The 27,255-nt window shown below is 44.7% G+C and overlaps 2 long non-coding RNA genes across 2 annotated transcripts; one reads left to right on the forward strand and one right to left on the reverse strand.

Annotated features, from left to right (window-relative positions):
• The first annotated feature begins 2,082 nt into the window (after positions 1-2,082).
• Positions 2,083-15,853, forward strand: LOC124902533 (uncharacterized). The gene is made up of 2 exons (XR_007062357.1): positions 2,083-2,952; positions 15,494-15,853. It is a non-coding gene; the product is annotated as an uncharacterized LOC124902533 (long non-coding RNA).
• A 238-nt stretch (positions 15,854-16,091) lies between these two features.
• LOC124902534 (uncharacterized) lies at positions 16,092-27,038 on the reverse strand. The gene is made up of 2 exons (XR_007062358.1): positions 26,873-27,038; positions 16,092-16,665 (listed from the first exon to the last, which is right to left on the reverse strand). It is a non-coding gene; the product is annotated as an uncharacterized LOC124902534 (long non-coding RNA).
• Positions 27,039-27,255: the final 217 nt, after the last annotated feature.

A 27,255-nucleotide genomic window follows, 5' to 3' on the forward strand; every position in this document is an offset into this window, starting at 1 on the left:
TGATGTAGGAAACTGATAGTCAGATGGAGTTTAGGTGACTTGCTCAAGTCACAGGGGCAGACAGGAATGGGGAGCAAGGACTGCCGTGTCGGATGTCCGAGCCTGGTGCTGGCAGCTGTCCCTTGCTGCCTCCCTGCGTCTGACCACAGCAGGCTGGCAGGGGATGCAGGAGCATCGTCCATGGCTGTCTCAGGTGTGCTGCATTAGGGATGGTGGCCAAGGCTGTGGCCATCTGGGGACCCTCCTGGGTCTGGGAGGGTGTCAGGGTATGCATGCCTCAGTGACAATGTGGAGGGCCAGCTTGGATGGTGATGCCCATAGTGCTGGTTCTCTGCCCAGAAATCTGCAAAGAGGCCCTAGAGCCCGAAATGGCTCCCCTAGAAGTCCTGTGTAAACAGAGCACCCGACATGTAAAGGGCCACCCCTACCCTGGACTGTGCTTGATGCCCACAGGTAGTGTCCCACCTTCTGCCTGCAAGACCACAGGGCTCTCAGCTTTGCTGTGGAGGAGCCTAACCCCAGCCATCTCCCAAGCAGGGTGGCTGAGCAGGGAGTTGCCTCAACAGGCCCTGGGAGGCACCCAAGGAGAGGAGCTGGAGCCCCCTCGTCATTGTAGACTGGCTTTGTTCTACCCTCTATGCCCTGGGCAGTCATTAGCAAACAGCCCTGGCCATGCACCCAACTTCTGACATGGCAGTCAGAAGTGGCAGGGACACAAGCCTTCCAGAAAGGGACGGCAGCTTCGCCCCAGGGCAGGCCCAGGAGGCCCCAAGCAGCTTGTCACTAGAGTACGAGGTCTCCAGATGGCAGGGTGCCCACCCGGCCTATGCTTCCTGCTGTGAGGCCATCACACCTGAGCCAACCGCTCATGGAGACATCAAGGGAGGAAACACATACAGATGGGAGAGACTGGACAACACGCGGTTCAAAGGACGTCCCAGACAGTAAGAAGCAAAGCAGCCTGGGCCTGGCCTGCCCAGGATGGGTGCCGCAAAGAGAGCAGCTCCTGTCCCTATGATGTCCTCATTTCACTATGGACACATGGTCGGCCCCGTGGCGCCCAGGGCAGCACAGGCGCAATGAAGACAGCCAGAGGGGATGGAGGTGTCACCACGCTCACATGGGCCACACCTCGCCCTGCTCAGGTCCTCTGACCCCTTGCGTCTGCATTTCCCAAGTGCTCCCTGGCCCTGAGAGGCTCACAGCATCAAGCTCTGTCCTTCCTCCACCAGGCCCACCCTGGGTCCCTGTGCTGACGTCCCTCTACCCGACAGGGACGTCCCTTTTTACTTGCCCAATCAATCTCTACTTTTCTTTCTTAACGTTCCAGCCTGTGTCACCTCCCTATAAACCCTTCTCTAACACCCCAGCTAAGCAAGGTCTTCCTTCCTGGCGCATACAGCAGGTCTGTGTTGATTTTACACCAGGACACTTCACATTGTATTAGTTAGATGGTTACAAGGGCCTGTTACAAGGCTGTTGATTCCAACCCTTATTCCTGGTAAGTGCCTGGAAGTGAGGCCCACAGTCAGGGTACAGCAGGTGGCTCGTGTGTGAGCGGCTGCAGAAGTAAAAGAGAGAAGTAAGACATCTGCCCAGTTATTGGATCCATGATGAGGACACTTTGCATCCTGGAAGCCTTTTGTGGGGATTGCTGGGCAGGGTGTTCATGGTAACTGCAGAATTTCCAGTCACCATGGAAACTTCTAGAAACACTGAGTGAGTGCCTGGCTTAGATTCCTGGAGTGGGGAGGATGTCTGCCTCAGCTTGAGGAGCACTGAGGAAGCTTCTGTTATGTCCTTTCTGGTGGTGACCCTGAGAAGCGTCCAACACATGTGTGCCACAGGAAGACAGGTGGCTGGGCGGTCCTGAGCTTCCCTCCACAACCCAGAGACCATGGAGTGAAACAGTGCTGAGGGCCCCAGGCCCAGGGACAGGCAGCTCTGTGGCTCGCACCCTCATCCGCTGACTCCTCTGGGAGAGACAACGTGATGGTCCCACCCTTTTTCTGATCCGCATGAATTTGTGAGCCCTGACCTACTTTCAGAATCAGTTAAAGGCCTATGAGCAAGGAGAAAAACAAGAGATGAGGTGGTTACAAGTACACAGAGAAGCCAAAAGAGATCTGAGGACATTTTGAGAAGGAGAAACAGAGCTGAACGCAGACACTGGGCCTGGGGTCAGCTGTATTCACAAGGTCACTCAGGGGCAAAGGAGCAGGGTTTCCTGCTGGGTGACCCCAGGCCAGTCGCTTGACCACCCTGAGACTTAGTCCCTTTTCCCATAAGAGGGGCTACTATTTCATGTAATTATAATACAAATCCTTGCCCAGGTTCTTTCCAGGATTGTGAAAGGAGATGATCAATGTGAAATGGGATGCTTTTCTAAACAAAGGAGAGCTCAGAAAGTCGCAAAAGATGGTCACTTTTAATAAGAAAAGGCTAGAGTATTATAAAATTGTGAGGTTTGGCCTAAATGTTAAATTCTAAAACTCTCTTTCTAAAATTTCCCTTTAAAGCAGATAGAAACACAATTTTTTTAAGCAGGGGAGTGACAAAAAAAAGTATGGAGAAAGCACGTCTGCCTACTCATCCCTGCCTGTCCTCTGGAGACCCACAGGCATCCCAACAGTTTCGAACTAAGTGTGGACTGTTTCTGCACTCATCCCTGTTCAGCAAATTCAACTTGGAAACAGATTTCATTCAGACAGTGATTGTTAATGTGCTCATTTGATTTAGGGGCTAATGCTTTCCTTTGTGGCATAACTGGAAGAACCATTACAGGAAAAAGTATTCAGCGATACTTGTTAAAGCATGGTAAGGCCGACTGCACTCAGGATCCTCGCAACAGGTATCCGGACAATGGGATTTTGCAGTGGCGAAAAGAAATTGACCTCAACTCCCAGTACAGCACCAGCAGGTGGGGACTGACAGCCAAGGAGCAGGGTGAAGGTCAGTGGGTGGAAAATTCCCTGGAAGAAGTCAGGGGTCAGGGACAGTCTGGATAAACTGATCTCACAGGATTCTTGCTGAAGGCAGACCAGGGTGATCAGATGTAACCTGGTGGATGGTTGAGGATGAGGAACCTGATCAGATATTGAGTGGCAGGTTCTGGCTAAATGGGCTGAGCAGTGTTCTTGCTGACACTGAATTTTGTAAGGAAATGCACAGATGGGTCCAGGAGAAGGTTTGGGAGCATGACTAAAGCTTGGTCAAGCAGAGAGTCTTCATCAGGATGTGCCAGTGTGCAGTGCCCTGAGCATTGCTTTCCTTTGTGTAAAAGGAAAAGGGGCTAATGCTTCCCTTTGTGGCATAACTGTGGCTTTGCTTTGTGGCATCCTGGCTGAACCTGGGTTCAGCCAGGATAAGAGAAGCCCCTCTATTTCCAGGAAACAGGGCAGCTGCTGTGAGTGTGGCATTGACAAGCAGATTCCACTGTGATATTTTTAGGAAAAGAATTGTGGAAAAGGTTGACAAGTCCTAGGACTCTCTGAGCACCTTTATTCATATAGACAGGGGCCTTGCAAACCAATCTTTGCCAGGCCCCCACGTACCCGGGCTACCCTGCCAGTTTCCTGGAGCCAGCTCCCCAAATGGGCCATCCCTTGGTTTGGCTGCAAGGTGTCAGTTCATGTCCCTCTTTTCTGTGTGCTGGGGGAGGAAGGATCCCTCTTCTCAGGGGACATTTCTTTATTATTATTATTATTATACTTTAAGTTCTGGGATACATGTGCAGAACGTGCAGGTTTGTTACATAGGTATACACATGCCATGGTGGTTTGCTGCACCCATCAACCCATCATCTACATTGGGTATTTCTCCTAATGCTATCCCTCCCCCAGCCCCCCACCCACAGACAGGCCCCGATGTGTGATGTTCCCCTCCCTGTGTCCATGTGTTCTCATTGTTCAACTGTAACTTATGAGTGAGGACATGCAGTATTTGGTTTTCTGTTCTGGTGTTAGTTTGCTGAGAATGATGGTTTCCAGCTTCATCCATGTCTCTGCAAAGGACATGAACTCATCCTTTTTTATGGCTGCATAGTATTCCATAATGTATATGTGCTATATTTTCTTTATCCAGTCTATGACTGATGGACATTTGGGTTGGTTTAAAGTCTTTGCTATGGTGAATAGTGCTGCAATAAACATACATGTGCATGTGTCTTTATAGTAGAATGATTTATAATCCTTTGGGTATATACCAGTAATGGGGTTGCTGGGTCAAATGGTATTTCTGGTTCTAAATCCTTGAGTAATTGCCACACTGTCTTCCACAATGGTTGACCAAATTTATACTCCCACCAACAGTGTAAAAGCGTTCCTATTTCTCCACATCCTCTCCAGCATCTGTTGTTTCCTGATTTTTTAATGATCACCATTCTAACCCATGTGAAATGTTATCTCATTTTGGTTTTGATTTGCATTTCTCTAATGACCAGTAATGATGAGCTTTTTTTTGTACATTTGTTGGCCACATAAATGTCTTCTTTTGAGAAGTGTCTGTTCATATCTTTCACTCACTTTTTGATGGGGTTGTTTTTTTTTTCTTGTAAACTTGTTTAAGTTCCTTGTAGATTCTGGATATTAGCCCTTTGTCAGATGAATAGATTGCAAAAATTTTCTCTCATTCTGTAGGTTGCCTGTTCACTCTGATGATAGTTTCTTTTGCTGTGCAGAAGCTCTTTAGTTTAATTAGATACCATTTGTCAATTTTGGCTTTTGTTGCCATTGCTTTTGGTGTTTTAGTCATGAAGTCTTTGCCCATGCCTATGTCCTGAATGGTATTGCCTATCCAAATCATGAGTGAACTCCCATTCACAATTGCTGCAAAGGGAATAGAATACCTAGGAATACAGCTTACAAGGGATATGAAGGACCTCTTCAAGGAGAACTACAAACCACTGCTCAGGGAAGTAAGAGAGGACACAAACAAATGGAAAAACATTCCATGCTCATGGATAGGAAGAATCAATATTGTGAAAATGCCCATACTGCCCAAAGTAATTTCTACATTCAGTGCTATCCCCATCAAGCTACCATTGACATTCTTAACAGAATTAGAAAAAGCTACTTTAAATTTCATACGGAACCAAAGAAGAGCCCATATAGCCAAGGCAATCCTAAACAAAAAGAACAAAGCTGGAAACATCATGCTACCTGACTTCAAAGTATACTACAAGGCTACAGTAACCATAACTGCATGGTACTGGTACCAAAACAGATATATAGACCAATGTAACAGAACAGAGGCCTCAGAAATAACACTACACATCTACAATCATCTGATCTTTGGCAAACCTGACAAAAGCAAACAATGGGGAAAAGATCCCTATTTAATAAATGGTGTTGGGAAAACTGGCTAGCCATATGCAAAAAACTGAAACTGGACCCCTTCTGTACACCTTATTAAAAATTAACTCAAGATGGATTAAAGACTTAAATGTAAGACCTAAAACCATAAAAACTTTAGGGGACATTTCTTGTGATGAGTATTTAAATACCCTACCAGAGGCACACTGGCTTTCCCAGATCTGACCTCCAGGGCTACACTTCTTTGGGGGTAGTTTTTTCTTTGATCAGTCAAACAAATAGTATAACATTATCTAATATTTTATTTAGTCTTAAGTATATTTAATTTATGTGAAACATGCTAGCTTTGCCTCTCAAAGGTTTGCTGGCATTTTCAATGTCTGTGTCTCAGAGTATCAGCTGAGAATAGTGTGGCCACAGTCTAAAGCACTGGTGACAATAATTCTTTTACTCATTCTTTTATTTACTCTTTAGGCTGCAAAAATTATTGAATGCTTCTATGTTCCAGGCTCTGTTTTAGGTATTGAGGTTTCAGCAGTGACCCAAACTAGCAAAAACTCTAGCTACATGGAGGTCACATTCTAGGAAGGGCCAACACACCCCAAGTGGGTAAAACATGGAGGGTGTCAGATGGTGGTGAGTGCTATGGAAAAAAATGAAGCTGAGAAAACAGGGATGGTTTAGAGTGGGGTTTGCTATTCTAGAAGGATGGTCAGTGAAAGTCTTCCTGAGAAGCTGATATTTAAACAAAGACCCAGAGCTGAGGGATGGAGCCCTGCAGGTCTTTGGATGGGCTAATCTGTTTCAGGAGCTCATTGAATGATACTCCGTGTGTGTCAAACATTGCTCTAGCAAGTGGGATCTAAAGACTGAGGAGCCAGAGCCTGTACCTTTCTTCTGCTCATGTGCAAAAGGCCATAACGTGTGATCATGTAATGATTCTATGATGACACACTGGGTCAAAGCAGGGCTGACTGGTACCCAGAGGTGATGCCTGGGCAGCATCTTTTACATTTCCCAGACTTCAAGGGGCTTCAGTGAAGGAGGAGTGTCTCCCTGCAGCTCTGGGACATCCTGGCATGACTCAAAAGTCTCAACTATTAAATTTTCAGCTTATTTCATTACCAAGTAATGTAAGTTACAAAAGCATCATTCTCTTTCCTAATATTTTTTGGATTTTTCACCCCATCCCAGAGGACAGGGTGGAGTCAGAGGTGAGGTGAAAGGTGGGTGCATCTGAGGTGAGGCTCAGCACTGCAGGGGTCTGGGGTGGGCAGCACCAGGGCCTCAGCACTAAGGAATGGCTTGCTCCAGATGTGCTCTTGGGGACAAAGGCTAGACCCTGACCCAGGTCTCTGGAGGAAAGGAGGGCTGTTTTAAAGACACCATGGTGGCATGCAAAGCAGCAAAGTGTCAGGAATGGAGTCACTCCAATAAACTGGTTCCTTTCTCTGTTAAAGTTTCTATTCATGTTCATCATTGACCTGAACAGCTTCGCCATACAGTCTGTAGATAATTCAGCAGGAGCTAGTTGGGGGAATGTTTAATGTGTACTTTCACTGGGGCCAAGATCTCTTGTAAGATGGGAGATTGAAGTTTTTAAAAGCTACCTCAGGAATGCTGGTTGTAGCAGCTGCTTTGACACCACACCACATCTCCTGCGTTCAGCTGCAGCTGTGGGAATGGCCCATGCCAGCTGCTGGTTCCCATCTAACAGTGAGACTTTGCCCTGGGGCCTGCTCTGCTGTCCCGGCTCTGGGCACTCACTCACTCAGCCTTAGGGAACGCGGAACAGAAAAGCTGCTGCATTCAAGCAGTGAGCACCCGGAGGTCAGCATCCACACCCTCTCCTCCGTCTCTGAAGGACCATGCTGGGGTATGTTCCACAGGCTTCTCAGCCAGGACCTGGCCGAATCGAGCCCTGGTTATCTGCAGAGAAAGCTAGCTGTGAATTCACCCTTCCCTGGCTTTCCTGCTTTTCTTGCTCCCTCCTCTACTCTGGCTCCTGCTTCCTGGGATCCTGCCTCAAATGCCTGCCTGTAGCCAAATCCTCCTCACAGGGCCTGCTTACAGGGGAATTCAAAAATGACCATGACCACGTCTGCATTATAAGGACACACTCCCAAGGAGCAAACACTAGAAGACTCATGTATGATTCATGAGAAAGTGAAGAAGTCCTACTAACATTACTGATAACTAATAGATGAGGAAGGCTTATATGTGTCTTTTTGCTATGCTTTTTGGGAAATCTGGGGATTTATGATGGTCTTCAGACACATCTCATGACTTTCAAATGTTGACTATAGATGAAAACACATCTCAGCAAAAAGCAAGGTAACAACTTGAATCCTACAGTACATGAAATTATCATTCACCAGGACCCAAAATGATGTATCCCAGGGAATAAAAGGTTAATATTAAGAAATGTAAAAAATAGAACGTAAGTAAAGCAGAAAAGACACTGAAGTAATTTGATAAAAATCAACATTCATTCTTTCATTCTAGGAAAAGAAACCCTAGAAAGGTAAGAAAAAAATGTATCCTTTTGGGCCAGGTGCGGTGGCTTATGCCTGTAATCCCAGTACTTTGAGAGGCCGAGGGGCGGGGGGGATCACAAGGTCAAGGGATCGAGACCATCCTGGCCAACATGGTGAAACCTCATCTCTACTGAAAATACAAAAATTAGCTGGGAGTGGTGGTGTGTGCCTGTAGTCCTAGCTACTCGGGAGGCTGAGGCAGGAGAATTGCTTGAACCTGGGAGGAGGAGGTTGCAGTAAGCCAAGAGCGCACCACTGCACTCCAGCATGGTGACAGAGTAAGACTCCATCTCAAAAAAAAAAAAAAGTATCCTTTTTGCCATTTATTTATACTTTTACAACCAAATCATCATATAGCTTCTAAAACAAAAATCAGCAAAGAGACTAGGGTTAGCTACCTACCACCATTATGATTTTACATTGTCTGGAAGTCAACTAAACAAGATATGAATTATAAATTAAAAGACAATTTGGGGGAAGAACACTTTAATTTTTATCTTAATGATGCTCAAGACTATCAAATCTCCGAGAATAAAAAAGTTTAATAAAATGACCCAAATTGTTTAAAAAGATAGCTTTTCAAGCAGTAATTACAAGCAGCAATGAAGGAATACAGTACTTTTACACTGTTGGTGGGACTGTAAACTAGTTCAACCATTGTGGAAGTCAGTGTGGCGATTCCTCAGGGATCTAGAACTAGAAATACCATTTGACCCAGTCATCCCATTACTGGGTATACACCCAAAGGATTACAAATCATGCTGCTGTAAAGACACATGCACACGTATGTTTATTGCGGCACTATTCACAATAGCAAAGACTTGGAACCAACCCAAATGTCCAACAATGATAGACTGGATTAAGAAAATGTGGCACATATATGCCATGGAATGCTATGCAGCCATAAAAAATGATGAGTTCATGTCCTTTGTAGGGACATGGATGAAACTGGAAACCATCATTCTCAGCAAACTATCACAAGGACAAAAAACCAAACACCGCATGTTCTCACTCACAGGTAGGAACTGAACAATGAGAACACATGGACACAGGAAGGGGAACATCACACACCGGGGCCTGTTGTGGGGTGGGGAGAGGGGGGAGGGATAGCATTAGGAGATATACCTAATGCTAAATGACCAGCTAATGGGTGCAGTGTACCAACATGGCACATGTATACATATGTAACAAACCTGCACGTTGTGCACATGTACCCTAAAACTTAAAGTATAATAATAATAAAATTTTAAAAAAAAGAAATGGAGATGTCATTTATCATATAAAAGCACCCTAAATCTCTAGTGATAAGTCTGATGAGGTATGCACAGGATCTAAATGATGAAAACTAGAAACCCATTTCTCCAGAGATGTGAAAGAGTGTTTGGACAAATGCGGAAGCATCAAGGCTCTCTAAATACTTCAACAATGACTTCTTTCCAAATCAATTCTTAATTTTCATGCAATTCCCTTGAAAGCATCCATAGTAAAAGTTTTTGGAAAGTCAATCATTATAAAGCATCCATATCTATAATCTAGAGAGCTGCAAGAAGAGGAGGAGGTCCAACTCAGATGGTCCATGTGGTGAGAGCTGAGCATGGCCTCTTTGGGAATACAGAGGCCCTGCCAACCTCAGCAAGAGCAGTTTTTGGGGGTTAGGGTGGATGCCAAATATAGAGGCAGGGAGAGGTCAAGGGCAGAAATCCATGTCCCTCAGCCCCCTCTCCTCTTTTCCCACATATACATCTATCTCTATATATGTATATATGTATATATACGTGTGTGTGTATAAATATATATACACATATGTGTGTGTGTGTATAAATATATATATACACAGAGAGAAAGAGAGACGTATAGATTCATGTGTGACTTAACAGCAGGGATACTTCTGAGAAATGCATACTTAGGTGATTTCATCATTGTATGAACCCCACACAGTGACACATAAACCTAGATGGTGCATCTGCTACACCCCGAGGCTCTATGCTACAGCCTATTATTGCGCCTAGGCTACAAACCTGTACAGCATGTGATTGTACTCAGTACTGCAGGCAGTTATAACACAGTGGTGAGTATGTGTGTATCTAAATATATCTAAACATAGAAAAGGTACAGTAAAAATATGGCATCAAAGATTTAAAAAATGGCACACCCCTATGGAGCACTCACCATGAATGCAGCTTGCAGGACTGGAAGTTGCTCTGGGTAAGTCACTGGGTGAGTGGTGAATGAATGTGAAGGCCTAGGACATTACTGTACACTACTGTAGGCTACACTAAATTTATTTTTAAAATTCCTTTGTTCAATAGTAAATTAACTTTAGTTATTGTAACTTTTTTACTTTATAAATTTTTAAACTTTTAATTTTTTTAACTTTTTTACTTTGTTGTAATAACACTTAGCTTAAAACACAAACACATTATATAGCTGTACAAAAATATTTTCTTTCTCTATATCCTTATTCTATAAATTTTTTTCTATTTTTTTTTTTTTTTTACTCTTTAAACTTTTTTTTGGTTAAAAACTAAGAAATGAACACACACATTAACTTAGGCCTACACATGGTCAGGATCATCAATATCACTGTCTTCCTCCTCCACATCTTGTCCCACTGGAAGGTCTTCAGGGGAAATAACACTCATGGAGCTGTCATCTCCTATGGTAACAATGCCTTCTTCTAGAATCCCTCCTGAAGGACCTGCCTGAGGCTGTTTTATAGTTAACTTTAAAATAGAAGAAGCACACTCTAAAATAACAATAAAATGTAAAGCATAGTAAATACATAAGCCAGTAACAGAGTCATTTATTATCAAGCATTATACATTGTACATAATTGCATGTGCTCTACTTTATATGTCTGGCATCTCAGTAGGTTCATTTACACTAGCACATACATGTGTATGTTTATATATGCACACATATTATACATATAAAGACACACACACAAATACACACACATATGTAAAACTTATTCAAGTTAGACAATAACACAGAAGAAATAAAAGTTCCTCTTGACCCTGTCACCATCCTAGACTTCTGCCTGGAGATGGTCAACTCTTTTAATCGGCTATATATCTCTTATGTTTTATCTATAAATTAACACAGACTATAAAAGTACATATTTCTGTGCTCTGTTTTTCTTTTTTTAATTTTATATTCTGCAGATGTGTGATTCAGAGCCTATTCAATCATTTACCTGTGGGTAGACAGATAGCATGTTTCCAGCTGTTTTCTTCTGCAGTGTTGTAAGCAACGATCTTGCACGTGTCTCCGAGCGTCCTGTGCAGTTACTTTTCTGGAGAGTGAATTGGAGACTGGGTTTTCTAGGCAAGCAGGAGGTAGGAGTCTCTGCAGGTGAAGGGAGGATGGGGGAGAAGTAAGTGTTGCTGGGGAGGCACTGGACCAGTTCTGAGGAGCAGTGGATGGGCAACTGAAGCAAGCAAAAGGGCTGCTGAGACCAGTTCCTAGGCTTGTCCACAGCCGGGCAAGGCGTGTGGCAAGGGAGGGAGGGTGGTGGCTATAGGTCCTGACTAGGAGCAGCCCTTCGTCCTGAATCCAGCTCCTCTGAGGCCCAGGAGCTATCTCACTTCTTTCCCCAGGCAGGCAGACAAGGGCTGCTGTTCTCAAAGTGAGGCCTCTAGACCAGCAGCCTCAGTAGTGCTGGAGAACTTATTAGAATGCACATTCTCAGGTCCCACCCTCAAGTCAGGAGCTCTTGGAGTGGGCCCACCCATGTGCCCTTTGAAGAGCCCTCTAGGTGATGTTAATGCACACTAATGTCTGAGAACCCCTGCTTAAAAGCTCCATGGAGACTCAGCAGCACACACCTGTAGACACCGTGATTATTCCTTCCTCTGGGTGCCTTTTCCCAACCTTCTCCTTAGTTTCTAACATGTTTTGATGTTTACCTGACACTGCTCAGATACATGCTCTTGATCAGGGCACCGGTACCAGTCCGTGGCCTGTTAGGAACTGGGCTGCACAGCAGGAGGTGAGCTGTGGGCGAGGGAGCATTACAGCCTAAGCTCTGCCTCCTGACAGATCAGTGGCAGCATCAGATCCTCATAGGAGAGCGAACTCTGTTGTGACCTGTGCGTGCAAGGGATCTAGATCGTGCGCTCCTTATGAGAATCTAATGCCCAATAATCTGAGGTAGAACAGTTTTATCCCAAAACCCTAAGCCTGTGCCCCCTCCCATGCACCCCCATCCATGGAAAAATTGTTGTCCACAAAACCAGTCCCTGGTGCCAAAAAGGTTGAGGAGCACTACTCTCGGTTGCCACCCACACTATTATTTCCAGGAAGGAATAATTATGCCCAGCTGGGGATCCTGGAGATTAAGCAGCTGCCCAAGAGGCCACAGCTCATTGGCAAGTGCAGGGCTGTCTCTGTGTCCTGGCCGGCAGACCCTAAACATTATGGGGACCTGGGGACAGCTGGGTCCCCAGTCACAGACTAGTTCACACAGCCCGGTCCCCCGCTGACCCTCCCTGACCAGACCAGGCTGGGCTAAGAGGATAAAGACCCGAATCTCTTTCCCTATCCTACTGTGAACTTGCAAAGAAAAACTCTCCTCTGTTTTGTCCAGTTGACGCTTGGTCAGCTCTTGGAGTGACCAGGGATAGGACAGGGCCTGGAAAGCAGGGTCACTTCCAGGGAATAGGGATGAGGTAGGGACAGTGACCATCCCCATGTGTCCACCCAGCTGTGCCATCCCTGTGGGCTGCTCCCCTCTCAGGACTGGCACACTGGGCTGAGGCAGCTTGAGAGGTGTCCCTTGGCTCTTCAGACTCATGGTCAGCCCCCTGCTATGGCAAGGCTGGGGAGGGGCTGTTTTACACAGACCCTTCCTTACACTCAGTGCCCCACTCCACTTGCCCATGCATTCTAGAATCGGCTCTACAGTGAGGGCTTGTTGTGCTTCAACTCTGTGAGACGAGAGAGTCCTGGTACTGGGACCACTGCTGCCTCCCCGCCCTCCCTGGGCCCTCCTCAGGATAGGGTTCTGGGTGAGAAGCACATGTGCAGAACAGCCCCCAAGACAGCCTGCTGGAGCATCAGAACCTCTCACCCATAGAACCATCTCACAGGCTGCTGTCAGGGCCAGAGGGCGGACACTGCAGAGGCATCAGTGGGGGCTGCTCCACGGAAGCACTAGTGGCAGAGCTGCTGGACTTCCTGAGCAGCTTCGGTCTGCTCTGTGATCTCTGCAAATCCCTGGACAGACATTTTTCTGGCGCTGCTGCTGAGATTTGCTTAGCAGAGACGGCCCTGGCTGACAGCTGGAGATACGCAGGTAACAAATCACCTGCTGCAAGAACACTCAGAAAAATAAGAGTGAAGGAGGGGAAATAAAGTTCATCATCTTCTTACAAAATATGTGGAAATGTTTGAATGTGGAAAGTGATACCAGGAACTGGATCCAGGCTGGTAAGTGTCCTGGAGTCTACACATCATGGAGAACTTCCACAAGCCAAAGGATCCGGGTGGTGCTGGGTCGTTTCTCTGGCTCACTGACTGTGGGGAATGAAAGAGCACCCGGACCTGTCTGGAGGGAAGTCCAGCAGTACAAAGAGGCCTGGGAACTGCATTCTTCTCAAATCTCCATCCTGGTTGCTAAAATGAGGCCCACCAACTAGACTTCTCTTTCTCAAAGAAAAAGAGTTTTCAAAATCTCAAATATGGAAAGGAGAGCAAAAGGCAAGACATATTCCATAGTGAGGACAATCGATTCTAAAGTTCTTACTGACTCAACTTTGAAGCCATCCAGAATAGGCAGGTTGTAAGCGTCTATAACCAAATGCATTAGTTGAATTTAATTTAAACAGGAGAAAGAAGAAAAGAGTATTTTGCCCTTACGATGCAATTTAAAAATATTTATCTGGAATTTTTTGGCAATTGCTTCGGTGTACCCCAACTATCCTGCTGTGTCCTTCTGCTAATGGAAAATGAAGACAGGCAGCCTCTTCTCAATAACTCCTGAGTGGCTTCCCGAGCTACTCAGACATTTCAAATGTGCTAATGTTTTTCTAAAGAGATAAAACTGGGTGGTCTGGAGGGGAAGCTAAGCTGTAGTTTATATTACTCTCCGGAGGGCAAATGACAGCCCTGCCGCCCCTGCCCTTCTCTCCCCCTTGTTGGCAATTCTGCTATCGAGGCCTTTCGTTCCTTTTCAGATTTTTTCCAGACCATGTGGTGGTTCTCCTGGTGGAATTGGGTTATTTACTTGTAGGTAAGGTTAAACCTTAAACTCAATTACCCATAGAATTCCAATGGTTTAATTTGGGCAACTGTTGGAGTCAAGTGGACGTGTGAAAACAGTTCTGGAGACAGCCCATTTATAACTGATCAGACAGCACACCAGCAGATGCCAGCCAGCCTGGCGTGGTGCTGCGCGCTCCATCCACGGCCGCACCCCCAGCACTGCGCACTTGCCTCGGAGGTGGGCTGGGGTTGGTATTAAAGCTTAGGCATACTGGGGCTTGTCACCAGAAGGACTCGGGGATGCTCGTGTTTATTTTGGTTCCTGCCTTTCAATTAAAAATAATACATTGTCCCATTTTTTCAGTCACTTGTTTAATCGTGAGATTATGGGCTATCATAAAACCTTCATTGCTCTCGTATTTCTTCTTGGCAAGGCAAAGAAAAGTTAATTTGGGATTAGCTCCAGAAGCATTTTGATCGAGCCTTGCCACTATTTATCACTCCAAAGACACTGACAGCGCTGATGAATGTCTGGGTTTGTATATCATTTTGTAAACACACAGCGCCCCCAAGGTGGTGCCAATTAAACTCCCAATGAAGGATTAAGGAGGGCCCATCTGAAAGAGGCAACGGCCCTTTTTGACAATTTCCAGGAGGCTTGGCCTGAACACAGCAGCAGTATGTGTGGCTTGCAGGAGGAATCTGCCCCTTCATGGCCCCCGCTGATGTGTGATTGGGGCTTCTGTTCCCCAAAATGACATTGATCCCAGCTGCAGCTAAGAGTGTGGTGATGCGTGCAGGGCCCCGCACAGCCCAGAGAAGAGGGCCGGTGTTGAGGCAGTCCCAGGACAGCTGGGAATAGGGGTGGAGCTGTCTGCCAAAGGAGGTGGGAGGAAAAAGATGAGGTTAACACCAGCTAGATTGCAAGAAGAGCTCTCACCTCAGCTGAGCAGGCCCAGGCTCCAGGGAGATGCGAGTGATGTGCCTTGAGCAATCAGTGAGACTGACAGGTAGGGGTTCTGTTGGCTCTAGGCAGCTGGGTGACCTGTCACTCCACTCACAGGGAGGCAGCCGGAGGAGCTGTCTGTGCAGACTGTTTATTTTCAAACCTAGATTTATGCCTTGCTATTTGTTTGTAGTTCCTCCCTGTTAAAGTAACAATCTCAGACTTTGTCTCCCCATTCAGGCACCAAAGGACAAACAGCAATGGTGTGTTGAAATGCTGCCAGGAGACTGAGAATCTGGGGGTGGGGGCACCCTAGCCCCAGAAATTGGTGTGCAGGAACCAGCTCTTCATCCCACACAGAGTCATCAGTCAACACCTCTTAAAACCATGCCCCTCAAGATCATTTTCTCTCCAATTTTAGGACAGAATGAAAAGTTGACTGAAAGTCAAGGTTCAGCTGAAAGGTCTGATTCTCCCACACATATTTTACACAGAGTCCCATGTGGGAGAGAAACAACCCAGCAGGACTGGACGGGTTGTGACCATCGCTGCCTTCCACCTTCCCTTTCCGACTCGAGGACACCAAGTCAGAGGCTCAGCCGCCTGCCGAAGTCTCCCAGCTACTGAAAGATGGCACGGGAGGTGGAGCCCTGATGCCTCCAGGTCGCTACCCCCAACTCCTGCAGGACCCCCAACAAAGGCAGTGTTCTGTCCCCCAGGCACCCCACCCTACGCCATCAGCCATGGTCTCGTCTGCATCCATCTAGAAAATATTCATTTACACAAGTGGAGCAGGAATATATTTTTGTTACAAACTAATCAAATAATATAATAAAGCAAAAACAGAATTTTCATTTTGTCTTCTACAGCCTATCTCCTAAGTCTTTTAAAAAATGTTTAATATTCACACATATCCACAAATGAGAATATAAGACAACTCTCCTTTCTCACGTACTATTATGTCTTGGAGGTTTTTTCCAAGTTAAGATATAGAGATCACTCTTATTCTTTTCAAACTGTTGGACAAATTATCACAATAGAAATATATTTTGATTTATCCATTCCCCCAGTGATGGACATCCAGATTGCTTCTGTTATTTAAGTCAATATTTTATTGAGGTATAATTTTCATAGGGAAATATGCACAAATCATAAGAGTGCAGTTCAAAGAATTTACACAAAGAGAACACTCAAAGGCACATCAAGAAGCAGATTTTACAGAACTCCAGGGGCACCTCTCCTTCCAGCCACCCCTTGCTTCTCCTTGAGTGGCCACTGTGTTGATTTGCAACTCCCATAGTGCCAAATTCCATTGTAAGGTTCAAGAGAAATGGTGACAGACAGAGCCCTTGTCTTATCCCCAACCTCAGAAGCTTTCAGTAGCATACCAGAAGTATGATATATTCTCAATCACAGTAAGGAACTTCCTTTCCGTTTGAGCTTTCTTGCAGTGTTTGTCAGGACTCAGTGTTGAACTTTATTAAATATCCTTTCTGCATCTGTGGCCTTGTGGATTCAGGATGGGTGGGCAGAGAACCTGTCTATGCTGGGCACCGCCTCGTTTGCAAACTCTGAAAGGATAATGGAAACACACTCCGTCTTCCACAAATGTCTTCGTGATGTGTGAATCCTTAGTCTCTTCCTCTCCATCCACCCTAATGGAGTTCTGTAGATGAAAGTACAAGCAAAATGAGTGTGGGAACCACAGCAATCAATCTATCAGAAAATGAGGAGAAGTCTAAGCAAAGAATTATAATTCGGGTAGGTGGTGTGATGGTCACTTTAGAGACAGTGGTCAAGGGAAGACCTAAGGAAGTGAACTTGAAGCTAAGAACTGTAGAAAGGGAAGGAGCCAACTTGCAAATATCTAGTAGAATTTTCCAGAAAGAGCAGAAAATGAAAAGACCTTGATCACGTGGGATTTGGAAGTAACAGGAAAAAGTTATCATATTGATAAGAGTACAATGGAAGGAAGTATTCAGCAAGGGAGTGAGGTCATTTCTCCTCTAAAAAAAATCTTCACAGCAACATCCAGACTGATGTTTAATCCCATACTTGGGTACCACAACATAGCCAAGCTGACAAATTAACCACATGTAGTGTGGGATCATATACTAATTTTGTGAGTTACTCTACTTTAAAAATTAAAGCCCAGCTATATTGTAGAATTCTCAAGTAATTCTCAGACAATATTACTGGCCTGCACATAATGATTTAACATTATAAAATAAACAGCCTGGACCTAGTCAGTAGTGATTCAAGTTGCTCTAGATGCCTTTGAGAGCCACAGAGAGGGCAGTATTGCTGCACACCCACCTGCTTCCCTGAGACCAGCTTCAGACCTCTGGCCAGGGAGCCTGGAATGTTTAGGAAGGAGATGACCTCCTAGGGCTTTATACCCAAAGACCACACTAGAATCAGGGTCTTCATGTTGAGTGTGTGTGCAGAGGGGGCTGACCTGGGAGTGGAGGGATAAATGTCATATGCAGAATTGAATAGTGCCGAGAAATGGCCCAGAGATGACACAGCCATGCTTTAAATTTATTTGGGCTGTCCTGTGCAGGAGTGATTTGTTTTGTTTTATGGGTCCCAGAAGGCAGAAGGCATGAAGATCATGAAGGCGGGAGGTGACTCCAGCTAACATGTATGACCCTGGGGTCCCAGCAGCAGACCGTGCCTTCCATACTCCTGCAGGAACACCTAGGGGATGTGATGGTGGGGATGAGGCCAAGTAGCCCTTGAGATCCCTTCCCCATTATGCGATTCTAGGAGACAATGGTGTGGATAAAGAATAAGGACCAGACATGTGAAACCTTTCTAAGGGAAAATGATAGAGCCAGATCCCACAGATATTGGAGAGTTGGAAGGAAAAGATAGTCAATCTGGGCATGCTGAGTTTGGTAAAATGTCATCCAAGTCGTACGGGCCTCTGTAATGTGGCATTGGAGGGACTCGAGGGGCAGGTTGGAAGATGGGTTTCATGGTCACTTCATAGAGAAGGCTATGCTAGAGGCTGGGTCAGCTCCTCCAGGGGCTGTTAGAGGGTGACAAGGGAGAGCAGAGAGCTATGGGGTCCCATTGCCCCTGAGTCCCAATTTTAACATCACCTCACCTACATCCCAGTAAAGAGAACTATATCAGATCTTACCAGAAGATGTGCTAAAGGAGATGCTACCTTGGCACAGTTCAGGAGAGGGAGAAAGAGAGAGGAAGGGAGGGAGTGAGGAAGGACGAAAGAGAGGGAGGGAAAGAAGCAGGAAGGGAGGTCTCCTTATCTTTCCTTTGACTTACTCATATATATTTAGTTATCCAAAAATATAATGAACATTTTCATAGAAATTAAACTATCTATAAAAGTAAGTTCTTACTGCTTACTGCTCACTTCTATTTTCTTCTATTCTGACTTTCCTGGGGCTTGAACCTGGAGGCCGGGCAGGTGGTGCTGGGCAGTGACCTCAATGCAGCATCGCAGGTTTTGTTTGTGGGATAGAGACAGAGCCTTGGTGTCCCTGGGCTGGTTGGTTGTGTACCCTTCTGGGCCCTGGGAACTCTGAGAATAGTTACTTCTTTCCAGGACTGTTATTTATTGCATCTTTGGGGCAGGTTTATAAATGTGTTATTTGCTTGAACATTGTTATTTATTTTACAAAATTTCAGGCATATCCTGTGTGTCAGCACCATAAAACTATAAAAAATGTTTTAAATAAACGATGCTTGGCAGGAGGGGTCAAGATGGCTGAATAGAAACAGCTCCGTTCTGTAGCTCCCAGCAAGACCAATGCAGAAGGCAGGCGATTTCTGCATTTCCAACTGAGGTACTCAGTTCATCTCATTGGGACTGGTTAGGTGGTGGGTACAACCCACAGACAGTGAGCAGAAGCAGAGTGGGACGTTGCTTCACCCAAAAGTGCACGGAGCCGGAGGATCTCCCTCCCCTAGCCAAGGGAAGCGGTGAGGGACTGTGCCACCTGCCCAGGGTACTATGCTTTTCCCATGGATTTTTGCAATCCTTGGATCAGGAGTTTCCCTCATGAGCCTACACCACCAGGGACCCGGGTTTCAAGGACAAAACTGGGCAGCTGTTTGGGCAGGCACCAAGCTGCAGGAGGTTTTTCGTAATCCAGCAGCACCTGGAACTCCAATGAGACAGGATAATTCTCCACTCCCCTGGAAAGGGGGCTGAATCCAGGAAGTCAAGTGGTCTCACTCAGCGGGTCCCACTTCCACAGAGCCCAGCAAGCTAAGAACCACTGCCTTGAAATTCTCACTGCCAGCACAGCAGTCTGGAGCTGACCTGGGATGTCTGAGCTTGGTGGGGGGAGGGGTGACAACCATTACTGTGGCTTTAGTAGGCGATTTTCCCCTGACAGTGCTAAGGAGGCTGGGAGGTTTGGACTGGGCAGAATTCACCAAAGCATGGCAAAGTGGCTGTGGCCAGACTGCTTCTCTAGATTCCTCCTCACTGGGAAGGGCATCTCTTCAGGAAATCCAGCAGCTACTCAGGGGCTTACAGATAAAACTCTCATCTCCCTGGGACAGAGAACCTGAGGTGAGGGGCAGCATGGTCTCAGGTTCTGCAGACTTAATCTTTCCTGCCTGCTGGCTCTGGAGAGTCTAGGTAATCTGGATGAGAGAGATTCCTTCAGCACAGCATGCCAGCTCCTCTAAGGAACAGTCAGACTGCTTCCTTGGGTGGGTCCCTGACCCCGTGCCTCCTGATTGGGTGAGACCTCCCAACAGGGGTCTCCAGACACCTCATATAGGAGAGTTCCAGCTGGCATCATGTCAGTGCCCTGCTGAGATGAAGCTTCCAGAGGAAGGGGCAAGGAGCAATCTTTGCTGTTCTGCAGCCTCCACTGGTGATACCCAGGCAAACGGGGTCTACTGTGGACCTCTAGCAAACTGTAGCTGACCTGTAGAAGAGGGGCCTGACTGTTAGAAGACAAAATAACAAACAGAAAGCAACAACATCAACATCAACAAAAAAGACCCCCACACAAAAGCCCCATCCAAAGGTCATCAGCCTCAAAGATCAAAGGTAGATAAATCCATGAAGATGAGGAAAAACCAACGCAAAAATGCTGAAAATTCCAAAAGCCGGAATGCCTCTTCTCCTCCAAATGATTGCAACTCCTCTCCAGCAAGGACACAAAACTGGATGGAGAACAAGATTGACAAATTGACAGAAGTAGGCTTCAGAAGGTGGGTAATAAAAGACTCCTCCTAGCTAAAGGAGCATGTTCTAACCCAATGCAAGGAAGCTAAGAACCTCGATAAAGGGTTACAGAAAGTGCTAACTAGAATAACCAGTTTAGAGAGGAACATAAATGACCTGATGGGGCTGAAAAACACGGCATAAGAACTTCCTGAAGCATACACAAGTATCAATAGCTGAATTGATCAAGTGGAAGAAAGGATATAAGAGATTGAAGACCACCTTGCTGACATAAGACACGCAGACAAGATTAGAGAAAAAAATAAAAAGGAATGAACAAGCTACCAGGAAATATGGGTCTATGTGAAAAGAACAAACCTATAATTGACTGGTGTACCTGAAAGTGATGGGGAGAGTGGAACCAAGTTGGAAAACACACTTCAGGATATTATCGAGGAGAACTTCCCCAACCTAGCAACACAAGCTGACATTCAAATTCAAATTCAACATTCAAATTCGGAACACCGCTAAGATACTCCACAAGAAGATCAACCCCAAAACACATAATCATCAGATTCCCCAAGGTTGAAATGAAAGAAAAAATGTTAAGGACAGCCAGAGAAAAAGGTAAGGTCACCTACAAAGAGAAGCCCATCAGACTATCTCTGCAGATCTCTCTGCAGAAACCCTACGAGTGGATCTCTCTGCAGAAACCCTATGAGCCAGAAGAGAGCGGAGGGCCAATATTCAACATTCTTAAAGAAAAGAATTTTCAACCCAGAATTTCATATCCAGCCAAACTAAGCTTCATAAGCAAAGAAGGAATAAAATACTTTACAGATAAGCAAATGCTAAGGGATTTTGTCACCACCAGGCCTGCCTTACAAGAGATCCTGAAGGAAGCACTAAATATGGAAAGAAAAAACATACTGGACATTGCAAAAACACATCAAAATATAAAGATCAGTGACACTATGAAGAAACTGCATCAACTCGTGTGCAAAATAACCAGTAGCATCATAATGATAGGATCAAATTCACACATAACAATATTAACCTTAAAAGTAAATGGGCTAAATGCCCCAATTAAAAGACACAGACTGGTAAATTGGATAAAGAGTCAAGACCCATCAGTGTGCTGTATTCAGGAGATCCATCTCATGTGCAAAGACACACATAAGCTCAAAATAAAGGGATGAAAGAATATTTACCAAGCGAATGGAAAGCAAAAAAAAAAGCAGGGCTTGCAATTCTACTCTCTAACAAAACAGACTTTAAACCAACAAAGATCGAAAAAAGACAAAGAAGGGCATTACATAATGGTAAAGAGATCAATGCAACAAGAAGAGCTAACTATGCTAAATATATATGCACCCAATGCAGGAGCACCAAGATTCATAAAACAAGTTCTTAGAGACCTACAAAGAGGCAGACTCCCACACAATAATAATGGGAGATTTTAACACCCCACTGTCAATATTAGACAGATCAATGAGACAGAAAATTAATAAGGATATTCAATACTTGAACTCAGCTCTGGATCAAGTGGACCTAATAGATATCTGCAGAACTGTCCACCTCAGATAAATAGAGTATACATTCTTCTCAGTGCCACATGGCACTTATTCTAAAACTGGCCACATAGTTGGAAGTAAAACACTCCTCAGCAAACACAAAAGAACTGAAATAATAATAAACAGTCTCTCCAATGACACTGCAATTAAATTAGAACTCAGGATAAAGAAACTCACTCAAAACTGCACAACTACAGGGAAATTAAACAAACTGCTCCTGAATGACTCCTGGGTAAATGACAAAATCAAGGCAGAAATCAAGAAGTTCTTTGAAACCAATGAGAACAAAGAGACAATGTACCAGCATCTTGGGGACACAGCTAAAGCAGTGTGAAGGGGGAAATTTATAGCACTAAATGCCCACATCAGAAAGCTGGAAAAATCTCAAATCGACACCCTAACATCACAATGAAAAGAACTAGAGGAGGAAGAGCAAACAAATTCAAAAGCTAGCAGAAGACAAGAAATAACTAAGGTCAGAGCAGGACTGAAAGAGATAGAGACATGAAAATCCCTTCAAAATATTAATGAAATCAGGAGCTCGTTTTTTGAAAAAATTAACAAAATACATAGACTACTAGCTAGAATAATAAAGAAGAAAAAAGAGAAGAATCAAATAGACACAATAAAAAATGATAAAAGGGATATCACCACTGATCCCACAGAAATACAAACTACCATCAGAGAATACTATAAACACCTCTACACAAATAAAATAGAAAATCTAGAAGAAATGGATAAATTCCTGGACACATACACCCTCCCGAGACTAAACCAGGAAGAAATCGAATCCCTGAATAGACCAATAGCAAGTTCTAAAATTCAGGCAATAATTAATAGCCTACCAACCAATAAAAACCCAGGAGCAGATGGATTCACAGCCAAATTCTACCAGAGGTACAAAGAGGAGCTGGTATCATTCCTTATGAAACTATTTTAAACAACTGAAAAGGGTGGACTCCTCCCTAACTTATTTTATGAAGCCAGCATCATCCTGATACCAAAACCTGGCAGAGAAACCACTGAAAGGAAAACTTTAGGTCAATATCCCTGCTGAACTTCAATATGAAAATCCTCAATAAAATACTGGCAAACCAAATCCAGCAGTATATCAAATAGCTTATCCACCACAATCAAGTCAGCTTCATCCCTGGGATTCAAAGCTGGTTCAAAATACACAAATTAATAAATTTAACCTATCATATAAAGAGAACCAATGACAAAAACCACATGATTATCTCAATAGATGCAGAAAAGGCCTTCAGTAGAATTCAAAATCCCTTCATGCGAAAAACTCTTAATAAACTAGGTATTGATGGAACATATCTCAAAATAATAAGAGCTATGTATGACAAACCTATAGCCAGTATCACACTGAATGGGCAAATGCTGGAAGCATTCCCTTTGAAAACCGGCACAAGACAAGGATGCCCTCTCTCACCACTTCTATTTAACATAGTATTGGAAGTCTTGGCCAGGGCAATCAGGCAAAAGAAAGAAATAAAGCATATTCAAATATGAAGAGAGAAAGTAAAAATGTCTCTGTTTGCAGATGACAAGATTCTATATTTAGAAAACCCCATTTTCTCAGCCCTAAAATTCCTTAAGCTGATAAGCAACTTCAGCAAAGTCTCAGGATACAAAATTAATGTGCAAAAATCACAAGCATTCCCACAGACAAGCAGAGAGCCAAATCATGAATGAACTCCTATTCACAATTGCTACAAAGACAATAAAATACCTAGGAATACAGCTTACAAGGGATATGAAGGACCTCTTCAAGGAGCACTATAAACCACTGTTCAAGGAAATAAGAGAGGACACAAACAAATGGAAAAACATTTCATGCTCATGGATAGGAAGAATCAATATCGTGAAAACGGTCATACTGCCCAAAGTAATTTATAGATTCAGTGCTATTCCCACCAAACTACCATTGACATTTTCACAAAATTAGAAGAAACTACTTTAAATTTCATATGGAACCAAAAAAGAGCCCGTATAGCCAAGACAATCCTAAGCAAAAAGAACAAAGCTGGAGGCATCACACTACCTGACTTCAAACAATTCTACAAGGCTGTAGTAACCAAAACAGCATGGTACTGGTACCAAAACAGATATATAGACCAATGGAATGGAAGGGAGACCTCAGATATAACACCACACATCTACAACAATCTTATCTTTGACAAACCTGACAAAAGCAAGCAATGGGGAAAGATTCCCTATTTAATAAATGGTGCTGGGAAAGCTTCCTAGCCATATGCAGAAAACTGAAACTGGACCCCTTCCTTATACCTTACATAGAAATTAATTCAAGATGGATTAAAGACTTAAATGTAAAACCCAAAACTATAAAAGTCCTAGAAGAAAACCTAGGCTATACCATTCAGGACATAGGCATGGGCATATACTTCATGAGTAAAACACCAAAGGCAATTGCAACAGAAGCCAAAATTGACAAATGGGATCTAATTAAACTAAAGAGCTTCTGCACAGCAAAAGAAACTACCATCAGAGTGAACAGGCAACCTACGGAGTGGGAGAAAATGTTTGCAATCTACCCATCTGACAAAGGTCTAATATCCAGAATCTGCAAGGAACTTAAACAAATGTACAAGAAAAAAACAACCCCATCAAAAAGTGGGCAAAATATATGAAGAGATACTTCTCAAAAGAAGACATTTATGTGACTAAAAAACATATGAAAAAAGCTCATCATCACTGATCATTAGAGAAATGCAAATCAAAACCACAATGAGATACCATTTCACGCTAGTCAGAGTGACGATTATTAAAAAGTTAGGAAAAAATAGATGCTGGTGAGGCTTTGGAGAAATTGGAACACTTACGATGTTGGTAGGAATATAAATTAGTTCAAACATTGTGGAAGACGGCGTGGTGATTCCTCAAGGATCTAGAACCAGAAATATCATTTGATCCAGCAATCCCATTACTGGGTATATACCCAAAGGAATATAAATCAGTCTACTGTAAAGACACAGGTGCACCTATGTTTACTACAGCACTATTTACAATAGCAATGACATGGAATCAACCCAAATGCTCATCAATAATAGACTGGATAAAGAAAATCTGGTACATATATATCATGCAATACTATGCAGTCGTAAAAAGAATGAGAACATGTCCTTTTCCAGGACACGAATGAAGCTGGAAGCCATCATCCTCAGCAAACTAACACAGGAGCAGATAACCAAATACTGCATGTTCTCACTCATAAATGGGAATTGAACAATGAGAACACATGGACACAGGTAGGGGAACAACACACACGGGGGCCTGTCAAGGGGTGTGGGGCGAGGGGAGGGAGAGCATTGGGACAATATCTAATGCATTCGGGGCTTAAAATCTAGATGACGGGTTGATAGATGCAGCAAACCACCATGGCACATGTATACCTATGTAACACACCTGCACATTCTGCACATGTATCTCTGAACTTAAAGTAAAATTTAAAAAAATGCTTATGGTTCCTTCCTAGGACTCTGATTCATAGAAAGATACATATTGAAGGAGAATTCATAAACTTCTAAGATCCTTCTAATATTTACATTTTTGTAGAGGTCGAAAATGAGGCCAACAGACTGGAAATGTTCACCATTGCATGAATGTAGCATGGCCAGGTCACTACTCAGTTCTGTGTTTTCTGGCATTAGAAATGCCGCTTATTATTCATATAATGATCATGGCATATTATTCTCACAGTATAGTAAGGGCCCCGATCCACAGGGGTGTGAAACGTCAAAGGCAAGGGCCTAGAGCTCACGGTGAGTGCCGAAGGATGGCGCACAGCCTGGGACAGTGTAGCTTTTACTCCATGCCAGCCTGTCCTTGCTTATTCCTTTCACACTCAATCAAAGGTGGCCTCCCACTAACAGACGTCTTTCCTGTTAGGAGTCGGGTGATATTGTGATGAGATTAGATGGTGTTTTAACTGAACAGAAATGCTCAAACTCTGTCCCATAGCACAGCTACGCCTGTCTGGAAAATTCTAGAGGGCAATACACACTGAAGGATGTACCTTCAGGAAGTATGTTGGCTCACAGGCTCTTGTGCAGGATTGCCTGGACAAGGGAGACCGAGCGTCCTCCTCCTCCATGGAGCCCAAAGACCCTGGAGAACCACGAGAAATGGAAGAAAGCCCTGAGAAAGCCATAAGAAGGCAGAAGGTACCTGAGACACTGGATAATGACATGTGGGCTGGCAAAGAGTTAGGGCACCTGCAGGGAGAGGAGGGAAAAAGGGTGGGGCAGAGGGAAGGATGAAGCAAGGGAGGTAAGGGCAATACCAGGCACTGCAGAGACTGCCAAAAGCACGTGGTACATACGGCGTGAGGCCTAAGCTGGCACAAATCAGAGATGACACATTGATATTAGGTTTTTTATTTTTTTGTGACGGAGTCTCCACCCAGGCCGGAGGTGCAATGGCGCGATCTCGGTTCACTGCAAGCTCCGCCTCCCGGGTTCATGCCATTCTCCTGCCTCAGCCTCCCGAGTAGCTGGGACTACAGGCGCCCACCACCACGCCTGGCTAATTTTTTGTATTTTTTAGTAGAGACGGGGTTTCACCATGTTAGCCAGGATGGTCTACGATCTCCTGCCCTCGTGATCCGCCCGCCTCAGCCTCCCAAAGTGCTGGGATTACAGGCGTGAGCCACCGCGCCCGGCCTGATATTAGGTTCTTTAAAAGGACCGTGAGGAAGAGGCAAAATTGGAGAATCTCAGGAAGAAGCAATTGAGCACTAATTGAAGACAGGTTCACCTGTCTGCACAAATTTGGGTCAGAAGTTCATCTCCCAAACCTCTTTTAAAACATTGACATGACTTGCTTGTGAAAAGCAAAGAGGAACATCTTGATGTGACTTGACCTCTTCCTTCCAGAGGTGGCCCTGGGAAAGCACATTTATTAGCCGCCTCCTCTTTAACTTGTCCGAGTTGGCCGACATCTGTCCTGTATGCCTTGCTTACTGGAAGTTCTCACCTGCTTAGAGGGCTCTTACACACAAACACACACACGCACGCACACAGGCCTCTCTGGACAGGGAAGTGAGGGAATTGGTGCCAGATGTGCACACGCACCACAGGACGGATGTGTTGGGATACTAGCTTGTCTCTGCACACCTCGTAACCAGCGGCTCTTTCCTTCCGGGCTGGCCATCTGTGACTCTGTGACAGTGGACTGGTTCTGCCTCGTCAGGCTTACCTTCATTGGACCAAGTCATACACTCAGTTACCTGGCTGGGTTTTCTCCTCTGTGCGTTAAACAGGGATGCCCTCAGACTGTATCCTAGAAGGAAGGGATGGACATTAGAAATGTGGGCAGATGGGAAGTGACTTCCTCCTTTTATTCTCAGAAATTGGCAACAAATTTGTTTTGGCCTTCTCATTCCTATGTATTTGGATTTGGAAATTTAAAGCTCTCTTTGGAAAAAAAATTGACAGGGAGCAGGTGGAAGTGGAGTTGCATAACTGGATGGAGGCAGCCCCTATTAAGTAGACTATCT

Source organism: Homo sapiens, chromosome 10 (assembly GCF_000001405.40).
Source record: "Homo sapiens chromosome 10, GRCh38.p14 Primary Assembly".
Lineage (NCBI taxonomy): Eukaryota > Metazoa > Chordata > Mammalia > Primates > Hominidae > Homo > Homo sapiens.